Source organism: Homo sapiens, chromosome 11 (genome assembly GCF_000001405.40).
Source record: "Homo sapiens chromosome 11, GRCh38.p14 Primary Assembly".
In the NCBI taxonomy this organism is placed as follows: Eukaryota; Metazoa; Chordata; class Mammalia; order Primates; family Hominidae; genus Homo; species Homo sapiens.
The window spans coordinates 124150640-124163662 of record NC_000011.10 but is presented as its reverse complement, the minus strand read 5'-3'; the positions used below and the strand labels follow the sequence as shown (position 1 = coordinate 124163662).

At 38.0% G+C, this 13023-nt stretch overlaps 1 long non-coding RNA gene and 1 pseudogene across 1 annotated transcript; both read right to left on the bottom strand.

The window, feature by feature from the left end:
• Positions 4309-5241, bottom strand: OR10D1P (olfactory receptor family 10 subfamily D member 1 pseudogene; annotated as a pseudogene).
• On the bottom strand, positions 6177-6706 carry LOC124902778 (uncharacterized). Its single transcript, XR_007062930.1, has 2 exons — positions 6612-6706; positions 6177-6348 (listed from the first exon to the last, which is right to left on the bottom strand). It is a non-coding gene; the product is annotated as an uncharacterized LOC124902778 (long non-coding RNA).
• Positions 6707-13023: the final 6317 nt, after the last annotated feature.

Below are 13023 nucleotides of genomic sequence, written 5' to 3'. Positions count from 1 at the left end.
TAATTACCCTGATTGGATCATTACACGTTGTGCACACATATTGAAAATCACTCTGTATCCCATAAATGTAAAATTATTGTGTGTCAACTGAAAATAAAAGGGGAGGAAATTGAAATATATATGTAATATTTAAGTGAAAAAAGCCAATTTCAGTTGAATTGTATTAATAAAAGTTCAAAGCTTTGCAAAGAAGGGTTACAAACATAGGTGTTTAGGGACACAGACATAGCAGGTGAAATGCAAATAACATCAAGGGAATAATACACACAAAACTCTAGAGAATGATAACTTCTAGAGAGAAAGAAGGATGTGTGATCAGGCCAAGGTCTACGGAGAACTTCCAAGGCACTAGCATTACTCTTTTTTTTTATACTAGGTAATGGGATGCATGTGTTCATTGTATCATTGTATCACAGTTCCTTATATTTTACATATTTTTCATGAGTATTATTTTCTAAATGTTTAATATTTAATAAAAATATTTTTTAAAAACAGACATCCAACAGGACAATAAAGAATGGCTTTTTGATGGTATCATTATTATAGGTTATTAGCAAAACAGTAATTAAAATAATAATTTTAAACAGAATGTAAAATAAAGGAATGATATATAGTAGGCTCAATTGTTTCTCACCAATGTAGCACTCCAACAATAACAAGTATTATTGCCCCTCTTACCCTAAGTGAACCAATACAACATATAATGTAATAATGCTATTCTCTTAGCTTGACTAGTTATTTTTGCAAAGGTGGAGTCAGTATCCTTGACCAAAAGTAATTGCAAATTTAGTGACCGAAAACATGATTTCTGACTGGTTATTCATTCATTTCAATCAATTTGATTTAGAACAAACCAGCAGGGGACTTGAGAGGGCAGGAAATAAACAGAACAGGTCCCAACACCTGTGAACACTCCTTTGAAAACTCCTCTTCACAATCCTCCCCTGCCATGTCAGCGGCCATCACCTTAGCTTCACTTTTAGTGTCCACATCATAAGTTTTCACTTTGGATGCTCCCATCATAGTTTTGTGCTCTTGGGACTATATGTAAAACAAAACACCTAAATGAAACTCAGAACAGGCATCAGTTTCGTAAAAAAAATTAGAAAAGAGCAAAAAGGAACAGTGACTGGAGAATACAGGAGTGTCTTGCAAAAAAAAAAATTGGGGGAGAACAAAGAAGCCTTTAAAGAAACTAGAATCCACTTGGCATCAGGTCCTGGATGCCCCTCTTAGACCATGCTTGAACCCACTGTCTCAGGAAAGGCTATGCTGGAGCCTGTTCTGCTCAAAACATCCTCTGATCCTCCGCTTCAATATTCTTGTTCTTCTCTGGCCTCCCTGGTCTCGACACTTGATTTTTTTGTCTTGCTTTGCCCCTGTGGGTTAAATATTCTTCTGGATTGTCTACCTGGTTTGAGGTTTTCCCTTTCACAGTTTTTCTCAAGTTCTTCTCACACTACCCCTTAGATTATAGAACACAGAAAAATCTCAGCTCACCCTCACACCCAACTTGGGCCTGCACGCCTCCAGGTTGGGGCTGGCATTCTAGGCTCCTGCTTAGGTGGAAAGAGAACTCAGACACTACCTGGAGACCTAAGAACAGCATCTCTCAGAACGGCTGGGACAAGCAGAGAAGTCAACTTGTTTAAGGAGATAGGGATATAGTTTTTTTATTCAAGACATCAAGTCCAATGAACAAAGAACTGAGCTGGAGAAGAACCCTGAAAACAGAAGGCACACTAAATTTTATTTTTTCCTGCAAAGGCATTTAGTCACAAATGGCAAATAGTTAAGTGATACCTGCCCAAATAATCTCTCACTGCTCTCCCTGCACATATAAAGACTGAGAAGTATGTTGCCTCTCCCTGGAAAATACTCCTCAGCCATTCTTAATACGGAAAAAACAACACAACATTTTCAATCTTCAACACCTTTTCTGTAAGGTCCTTTCTTCAAATGAGGAAAATGCACTCCAGATTTTCTGCTGTATTGTACATCTTGATCATAGCTTAATGATGGGACGTTCTAGTTAGCTGTATGTCTGTTTCTCCAGCAGACTCTGATTTCTGTGCAGCTGGGGTCATATCTTTTTCATTTTGCATTCCTCGCCCTTGCACAGAGTTATTCATCAAACAACTCTGAATGAGTGAAGATTTGAAAAGGAATCAGATCTCATCTTTTATCTTTACAAATTTGTCTGTTTTTACTGACTGTGCAGCTACACCAGTACACTGAGGCATGGGAAGGGATCTTCAGAGTGGACTCAAAGAGGCTTGACAAGGGCTTGCGATTTGGAATAAATTTGAAATAATTTGAGATGTATTTCTAGCTTCCCTTTTAGGCTCTTGTTTACTGGAAAACAAGGGGGAAACAGCACCGAAAGAGGTTTTTAGGAGTTTGCGTAGTGACCAGGCAAACGTTTGTCTCCCTTCCAGGAGCTGTGCAGGCTCACCCACTGGCTGGAGCCATGGATACAGTGTTGCTCATTTGTTCTGGCCGTTTCTTTACTGCTCTCTAATTCTAAGAAGTGCAGGTGGGGAAAAAGCACTAGTCTCTGCTTCTGCCCTCTCCTCTTCCATCATCCTCTTTACAGCCCTGTTAGAGCAAACTTCACAGCAACATATTTCCCCAGTGTGATAGGATTCTCAATGAATTCAGTTATGAAAACAATAGCTCATTTCTCATTATTGGCATATTTCAGTCAAAAAATAAAGAAATGTAAGAGGGGGTCCAAAATCGAACCCTTTTAGTCAACAGAGAAGGCAAAGACACCAAACAATGACATCTTGGACCCAGCATTGCCTCTTCGTTGTACTGAGCAAGACTTTCTTTTATTTTTTTTTCGAGATGGAGTCTCACTCAGTCACTCAGGCTGGAGTGCAGTGGCGTGATCTTGGCTCACTGCAACCACTGTCTCCCGGGTTCAACGGATTCTCCCGTCTCAGCCTCCCGAGTAGCTGGGACTACAGGCACCCGCCATCATGACCAGCTAATTTTTGTATTTTAGTAGAGATGGGGTTTCATCATGTTGGCCAGGCTGGTCTCGAACTCCTGACATCAGGTGATCTACCCACCTTGGCCTCCCAAAGTGCTAGGATTACAGATGTAAGCCACCGTGCCCTGCCCAAAGCCAGCCTTTCTAACGTGGGATCACAGTACAGTTGCCCCTGTTTGGATTCCCCTACCTACCTTCGCATCTCATTCACATGCTGCTTCTTCACACCCAGGGCCTGTTTCCAGGTCTAAGCCTGGCAGGCAGGGTTTGGAAGTGATACAGCACACTAGTATCTCTGCTTTACCCATAAGAGACTGCCTCAAGTCCCAGCCAGATGCCTTTCTCTTTATACAACCTCCTTATGGTTCAGAAATAACAGGATGCTGTTTAAATAAATTGGGATGCACCGCCACCACCACCACCAACAACAACAACAAAAAAACACTTTTTGTTTTTCTTTTCTTTTCTTTTTTTGAGAGAATGATTTTTTAAATTGAGGTAAAATTTACATAACAAAAAATGAACTATTTTAAAGTGAACAGATCAGTGGAATTTTGTACATTCACATTCACGTTGTACATAGCACATTCACAGAGTTGTGCAATCATCACCTCTACCTAGTTCCGAAACATTTTCATCACCCCACAGTCAAACTAAAAAAAAAAAAAAAGGTCAATTTCCTCTGTTTTAATGGATTTACCTGCTCTGGATATTTAACAGGAATGGAATCACACAATATGTGACCTATTGTGTCTGGCTTTTTTTTCCACTGAGGATTAGATTTTCAAGTTCATCCACATTGTAGGAGGCATTCTTCATTCCTTTTTGACTGAATAACATTTTTAACAACTTGTAGATGCATAAAAATGAGGGCTTATCCAATGCAGGCATTTGAGGATATAGTCACTGTAGTCAAGATGAATAAATGTCATGGTGTGAGGGAAATGAAGAGGAGGAGGGGATGTAGGAGGATGAAGAAAATACAGATTGAGAAGCAGAAGCTCCAAGCTGTTCTGCCTACTGAGAAGAGTTTCTCTCAATCTCTCTCTCTCTCTCTCCCTCCCTCTCAAGCAGTATGATTTCCTCAAAAGAGCACAGGCCCCAGAGTCACAAAACCAGCTCTAGAGTCCTCATTCTGCCATTCACAGCTTACATGTCCTTGGACAAGTTACTTTGAGTTTTAGTCTCCACACTGTAAAATGGAAATAATAATACCTGTGCCCTCAATTTCAAAAATATGTGTGACAACTAAATAAAAATGGTTATAAGCTATGAAGTGTGGTTGAAGCGCTAGTTACTTATTTCTCTCTACAACTGCTCAGGAAGGAAGCCCAGCTGATATAAGACCTTCCTTAGTGATAATTTCACCTCCTTATTCCTGAGACTGTAGATTAAGGGGTTCAGCATGGGGGTGACCAGGTTATTCAGAATTTGAACAGTTGCATCCAACCACAGGCTGTGGGTAGGCCTCAGGTAAATGAGGACCACTGGCATGTAAAAAAGCAGGATGGCGGTGAGGTGGGCGCTGCAGGTGGAGAAGGCACGGCGTCGGCCCTCGGCAGAGCAGATCTACAAGATGGAGAAGACGATGCCACTGTAGGAGGTGAGGATGAGAAGGAAACAGCTGAGGGGCATGAGGCCCACACTGATGAACCCCACCATCTCCAGGGCTGAGGTATCTGCACAAGCCAGCTTCAGCATGACTGGGATATCACAGAAATAATAGTCCACCTCATTGGGGACACAGTAAGGCAATTGGAAGGTGAGAGTGGTCAGAAAGGTGGCCTGAATGCAGCCAAAGAATGAGGTCCCCATGGCTAGGATGATACATGCTCTGTGGCTCATGATTATGGTGTAGCGTAGAGGGTGACAAATGGCAACAAAGCGGTCGTAGGCCATCACCGTGTACAGGAAACACTCAGTGCAGCCCAGGAAATGGTAGAAGAAGAGCTGGGATGCACAGCCTGCATAGGAGATGGCTCGGCTGTTCCCTGAAAGATAGCACAGCATCTTAGGGGAACTCACAGAAGGGAAAAATAGGTCAAAAACAGACAGCTTGCACAGGAAGAAGTACATGGGCGTGTGAAGCCGAGCAGAGGAGACAATAGCCAGCAAGATGAGCAGGTTCCCCATAAGGGTGAAGATGTAGAAGGACAAAAACAGGACCAACAGAATAGTCTCCAGACCCTCCGTGTGAGGGATGCCCAGCAGGATGAATTCGGACACCACCGAGAAATTCCTCATGGCTGTGAAAACATCCAACCTTGAAAAGGTACCCAAGACACCAAAGTCTAAACACCAATGTCAAGTTCTCAAGCTTTTTGCTGATGAGTGCTTTGGCTATGTTTTTAACAAGGAACAACCTGCCTTCTTATGAAAGGCAAGAGAGAGATCCATGTAAAAAAAAATCAGATAATAAGGAAATGCCTATTTTAGAGTCAGTCTATTCGACTCATGGAAGGGATGCTTTGTAAAGGCAGATTCTTGTCTTCTACAGGATGAGAAGTTTAGAGGCATATTTAAAACACTTTAGCTTAAGTTAGAAGCCTATGTACCATGGATTTATTCTTTTTGAGCATATTTACTATTTGAACTCTTGTGATGTCTTTACATAAGAAACTTCCACTATTCATTGCCCTCTGCAATGTAACAGAAAAATAATTAGGTTAGAAACCAGAAAACTTAATATGAATCCTGGCCTTTCCATTTATTAGCTATACTTGTTAAAACAATTTACATGACGTCTTTCATAGACTTAGTTTCATCATCTGCCAAATGGAAATCATACTTATTATAACAACATCGGTAACACAAATATCCTAGTATTATAGTAAAGTTTATGAAGTATCTGCTAAAATGTCTGGCAAAACTATGAACTATAATGAAAGGTTTTTTTCTCTTTTTCCATAAGTTATTGGGGTACAGGTAGTATTTAGCTACATAAGTACGTTATTTAGTGGTGATTTGTGAGATTTTGGTGCACCCATGACCTGAGCAGTATACACTGCACCATATTTGTAGTCTTTTACCCCTTGCCCCCTCCCACTCTTTCCCCCAAGTCCACAAAGTCCATTGTATCATTCCTATGCCTTTGCATCTTCATAGCTTAGTTCCCTCTATTTTATATATCTTAAACTTAATTCTTTAAGCACTTTCCTTTAATGTGCATATCCTGTAATTATTTGCAAAAAAATATTTTATTAAATAACATTGTTGAATAGATTTAAGATTACATACTCTTCAGATTACATCTTTCTGGACTTGAAAGGTCGAAGATCTTTAACTCTAATAAGAGAGGCTGTTCTGGTTCTTCTTGTTCTTATAGTCATTTCTAAGCTGACTTAAGATGACTGAAATATTGAGAAACAGTATCAGCAAGGAAAGCATCCAATTCATGTTACCATAATGAAGTAAGAAATACAGTGATCCATGTAAAGAAAGGCAAAGAACAGCACTAATGAGGTAGGTTATGTAAGTCAGGAGCAGGGTATAATGCCTGAAAGATTCAGGGATCTCTCATTACTCACTTAGTAATAATAATGGTAACACACACACACACACACACACACACACACACACACGCACACACTCACACCATTTAATGAATACTTACTGTGTTCCAAGGACAGGCTCAGCATTTTAAAATTTGCTGTTTATTTTTGAAGCATACCTATAAAAAGAAATTACTATTATTATTACTGTTCTTATCTATAGATAGGAAGGTGAAGCTTAGAAAAATCAAGCAAATTTCTCAAGCTTGAAAAGCTAGTATGTGACAGATTGGTTTAATTCCATTTCCTGTGCCCTCAATCATTAGGAAATTGTGCCTTCTGTTTGCCTCTGCTTTCTAAGACAGCCTGTCCCATTGCTCGGCAATGACACGCTTTCCAGATGCATTGACATCATTGCTTTATATTATGGTAGGAAAAGTCTTCATGTCCTATTTCCTCCTGGTCGTTTCCAGTCTTGACTTTAGAGCCCACTTGATAAATACTTCATTTAGTTTTAGAGATCACATAACAGGTGTTTTCTATCCCTTTAACACTAGATCTTAGTATCAGCTCCAATACAGGAGCTTTCAAGTTGCAGAGCCACGTTCAACATGGGGATCCCAATCATAAGCTGTGGCAAGTGTCATGGAAAAGCATCTCTAAAGAGAGCGACCAAGCCAGAATGAGTCACCCACATATTACCCAAGAACTGGGCAAAAGTAAAGACAATATAGAAACAGTGACATTCTGGGGAAGAAATGCTTCTGCAGTCTGCCCCGTGTTATTAATTCTAGCCACACCTGAATCGTCTCTCTGAGCAGCGCAGATTCCTGTGAGCTTTCATCTCCTTGGTCAGCAAAGGCAAGAAAGAGAGAATCTGGTTTTGCCAATGATCAGACACCATGATATACTGTGATTCCATAATTTGATTTTTAAGTCCATTTCAGGAAGAAGTCACCAAAGACCAGGAAATTCTCAATGTGTGAACCCATTAGTGTGTGAGGGGAAGAGGCTAACAATGAGACATGGGTAGAAGTTTGAACACTCACACAGTCCACCTGAGAATATAGTCAAGTTTTCCAACTGTTATAACAAGATCTCACATTTACTTTTTCTCAGCAGAGCACAATGTGCTCCAGCCAAAGGAGCCTTAATTCTCCTATTTATAAAGAATCAAGTCTCATAGGATTTGTACAATCAAGACCTGTACACACTCACTCTCTCTGGACTGCTTTCTTGAAAGTTCTTCTCAGATCCCCTTAAGCCCTACTTGGGACTCAGTGATACTTCTGAGGGAGCAATTAGTTTGTCAATAACATTCATCACCCAATCACGAGATAACAGTAATAATATCATTGGAAAGGGATGCTCTAAAGTGGGAAATATGTTCCCCCAAGACTGTTTGCATAGTAGAAAAACACCAGTTTTAACATTAGATCGTTTGCATTGCTATCCCTTTGTTTAGTTGTCTTTTACACCTTCAAGTCTTTGCTCCAATTCAGCTCAATATCATAAGCTCACGATCTCATGATAGTTCGTGTTACCATTTGCCTCATCACTTTTGAAATTGTCTATACATGCCTGTGACTATATGGCTATATCTAATAAACATCACTATTCAAGACAGAAGCCTAATCAGTAGATATTTATTATGCATCTACTATCATGATGTATCTTCAGGTCATTACTCCTAAAGAATAACAGTCTCACATACTGCACACATTGCTGGGAAGATGACTAGTATAAATAGAGGAGCTATAAACCAAAAAACAATAAACTAAAATGCCATTAGTTAATTAACAATCCACTGTAAGCACTTACCATAAACTGTCATGCTAATTTGTTTAATTCGTTGTTACATTTAATCTCCAAATGAAACTTTATAAAGTAGACGGTATTATTTGACAAAGAAACTGAAAAACAGATTAAATAATCTAGAGATTACACAACTAGAAAGTAAATGAGCTGAGACTGTAATCTCAAAGCCAATTCTTTTCAGCACTAGGCTATGCTGAGTTACAGAGATTTGAGTCTTGCACCAAAAGAAGAGAAAGAGAGATTTAATGTGGTCTTCAAATGCTTGCAAAGCTGGTGGGTAGACTCAATATGAGTTATTTTACACAGACTCAAGAATCATGGGCAGATATAGTAGAAAGATAGATTTATTTTCAATGTAAAAAGGAATTGTTTAATTATTAGAAAATGTACATCAATGAAATAAGCAACCTTTTGATGTAATGATCTCATCACTGGAAGTATTCAAGAAGAGGTAAAGAGAACCATCTTTCAGGTATACCATTAAGGATATTCTCAATTTGAATGAATAACATAAATTCAAAAAACTTAAAGTTTTTTCTTAGTATAAAATTATTTGATTTTATTTCCACCATAAAATTTTTCAAAGATACTGACCTAACACAATAAAAGTGGAGCTTTAAATTAATGATGATAATTCAGCTAACCCCTAAAGCAAAAGCAATTATGAATATGTCCATAGTAGTTACAAAAGTAGTTACAAAGTTTACAAAACTATTACCATTGTAATACCAAAGCTGTTGCTGAAGCATTTTTAAAAGAAGAGAAAAGCAGGTTGTGGAGCGTGTACAGATACTGCTCAGATAGGGTCTCAGAGGGTGGACACAGTTTGTTGGGATGTCTTAGTAAGTACATCACATTTTTAATAATAGCTAACATTTTCTGTGGATTTGCTATATACTGGAATTGTGATGAGGGCTCTGTATTTAATATCTTTCAATATTTACCAAAAATGTATTTCTATCTATTTTTTTATAGTAGAAAGCTTAATCTCAAAGAGTTTAATCAACATAACTAAGGTAACAGAGTTGGTTAATGATGGGGTTGTATCTCAAATCCAGAATAATATGACTTCTCCCTTTGTGTTATGAAGACAAATAAGTTTATCACTAATTTTGATTTTCAAATACTCGTTAATAACTAATACCACCTAACATTTGTAGTTGTTCTAGTTTTCCAATACACTTTTCTGTAGTTTTAATTAATTCTTAAGAGCTGTGTCAGGTGGGTTTTCTTAACTCCACTTTACAAATAAGGACGTTAAACCTCAGAGCAATTCTGGCTTTTCTAAAGTTAGACAGTAGAAGAGCAGGCATTCCCAGGTTTAGCTCTCTTTCCACTACATCATCACTGCTTCCCAAAGTGACACCATACAGAAAGCAGCTGTCTCTGGATGAGAGATGAATTATTAATAGATTCATTTGAATATTTGGTTAAGCCTTCTATATAACCTTATGGTTATTACTGTTTTTATCCTGGATTCCTTGACAAGATTATGGCATCAAAATATAATGAGATAGGCTGGGCACGGTGGCTCATGCCTGTAATCCCAGCACTTTGGGAGGCGGAGGCAGGTAGATCACTTGAGGCCAGGAGTTCCAGACCAGCCTGGCCAACATGGTGAAACCCCATCTCTACTAAAAATGCAAAAAATAGCCTGGCATGGTGGCACATGCCTGTAATGCCAGCAACTCGGAGGCTGAGGTCGGAAAATTGCTTAAACTAGGGGAGCAGAGGTTGCAGTGAGCCGAGATCATACCACTGCACTCCAGCCTGGGTGACAGCGTGAGAGTCTGTCTCAATAATAATAATAATAATCATCATCATCATAAGATAAAGCATCAGAGGAACAAACAGAGACAGAGAGACACTTATTTAGCTCATGTTCTGTTTCCTAGGGAAAAAAAATCCCACTGGAAAGTTTACTACTTGTGAGGAAATTTGCATTATATTTGCATCATCTTTGTTTTAGTCTGCTTAATTTAATTCCTTTTTTTTTCCTGCTCCAGGTATTCAAGTAAGTCATGACATAGTCTAGCAACAACTGATTCATCAACTAATCCTTCAGCAAAATTTTCTATTTATGAATAGCAAGCTTAAGTCTAGGCATTCTTGATCCAATGACAGGTGCTTTGTTGTTTCTTGGCAGGATAAGGGTCTGCGGTGAATTGTCAATCATGTTTCTTCCTTTATCTGCGATAACCCAGTGGAGAAGAATTAGGCTGTAAGCCCAAAAATGGAAAGGAGTATAATAATGGCTATTTACTGGGTGACACATATCTGAAGCTGCTATTTTCTTTTCTTCCTTTTGTTCTTCTTCCCTTCCTATCATTTTTTTTTTCCTGGTGGAAAAGTTCTTGGCATCCTAAAAATTTGATGGTTTCTATGGATGAGGTGTGACCCACCTAGTGGGGGAATATAGAACTGAAAATATTCTGCATTTTTATTGGGGAGAGATGGAAATGAAAGCAATATCAGGGACTTGAATCCTTGGAAACGCTCTTGAGTGATTTGAAATCCTCAGTCATCACTAATTCCTAAACAAATTTTCATGCTTCTATCTGATCCCACTCCCACTTTCAAAGCCTGTAACCTGTTGGGATATAAGTCAGGTAACCATAACAGGCTAGAACACTGGACCAGTCCTTGGAATCAGATGGAGCAGTTTGATGTCTAAAATGAATCACTAGTTTCCATCTCTCAATGGAAATGTGAGCCTGAAAGTATTTGGTGTCTCAATCAATATTAAGTCCATTTGGAACCAACTATCAGTTCTTGGAGCTTCAGAAACTATTGAACCCAAATTCAGAATCTCTGCCTTCAAACGTCACACGTCCTTTGATCATGCATTCTAATAGATAGTTATAAGAGAATATTTCTATCTATTCCTCAGATAAATCTGATCTGCTTGAACTACAGCTTCATTTTATAATATCTTCTGCATTTAATGTGTGTCTGTTTAGCCATGGACATTAAGAAATCACAACAGCAGAAGTGCTAATTTTTAATCTATCATAATTGATAAAGTTGTTTTGAATATGTGCAACACTATGTATCTTGGACCAGGGTGGTAGTGTCATTCATATATTTATTTACACCTGAACATTATTATAAGATGATTATTGTATAAATATTTGGTACAAAATGGAAAATATATAGCTGTGTATTAATTGTATCTGTAACATTCATTTTAATGGTTTTATCTATTAGTGATTACAGATTCTCCCAAAATCAGATAATTCAGCTAATTTATTAATAAAGTATTATAATCTTTGTTCTTAATATTCAAAACAAGTAGCTATTTCACATTTTTTATTTTTAAAAGCAAAAAATAATAATACTTTCAATCATAGAGTCTCTGTATGCAGTTGAAGTTGTTACTAACTTAAAATAGATGGTTATAAATACAAGCTATTTTTATGAAAGCCTTAAGATAACCACAAAGAAAAGTCTCAAAACATAAAGAGAAAATAATCAAAGCAAATTGCTACCAAAAAAAAATCAAATACAGGAAGAAAGCAAGAGAAGAACAAGCCAACTACAAAACAAACAGAAATCAATTAAAATGGCAGTGATAAGTCCTCACTTATCAATAGTTATTTTAAATGTAAATGAAATAAATTCTCCAATCAAAAGACAGAGTGATCATTTTTATTTGTCTATTGTACCTCAGTAAAGCAGAAAACATGCTTGTAAGCTTAAGCGTCTTTACCCTAAAAATCCACTGAATGTTAAACTGTTAATTACAGTACCTCAAAAAAGAATTAAAGTGAGTGAATGGATTTCACAGTACATAAACTACACTTCACTAAGCTGTTTTTTTTTTAAAGTGAAATAAAGACTAAAAAAGGCATGGATTCTAAAGTCTATATAGAGCTTGATCGCTGACAAAGTATATATATATACTTTTAAATATATATATATTTAAAAGTAAGCCTGACTATATTTCTATACAATTCCACTTTCAGCTTTATGACTATGCTTATTATTATTTAAGAAGAATTGCCTAACATTATACCCTCATCCCTACCTGAGACTCTGTCTATTTATTGACCCTCACTGCATTACTGAATTCTTCCCCACACCTCACCTCATTTTCATATCTCACCATTAAGGATGTCTGTTTGTTACATCACTTAGTAATAAAAACTGGTTTATGTGCAAAACAAACAAACCCAAACTTTTAACTTTGGATAGACCACAATAGAAAAAAGAATGTTTTCTACCTCTGAAATTCCAAAAAGTACAGTTCTGTAAATGAAGGGTCAGTGAAGTGTGGAGATTTGGTAGATCAGACTACATGGAGGCCAGTTTCAACTATAACATGCAAAGAGTTTGGAAACCATCACTCTCACCATTACCACAAGAAAAAGCTGAACAAACATGATATGGTTTGGATTTGTGTCCCCACCCAAATCTCAGGTCGAATTGTAATCCCAGTGTGGGAGGTAGGCCTGGTGGGAGGTGATTGGATGATGGGGGTGGATTTCCCCATTTGGTGCTGTTCTTGCGACAGAGTTCTCACGAGTCCTGGTTGTTTAAAAGTGGGTAGCACCTCCTTCCTCTTTCTCGTCTTCCTGCTTTGGCCACATGAAGACACCAGCTGCTTTGCCTTCCATCATGATTCTAAGTTTCCCGAGGCCTCCCCAAAAGCTGCTATGCTTCTGGTATAGCCTGCCAAACTGTGAACCAATTAAACCTTTTATTTATAAATTACCC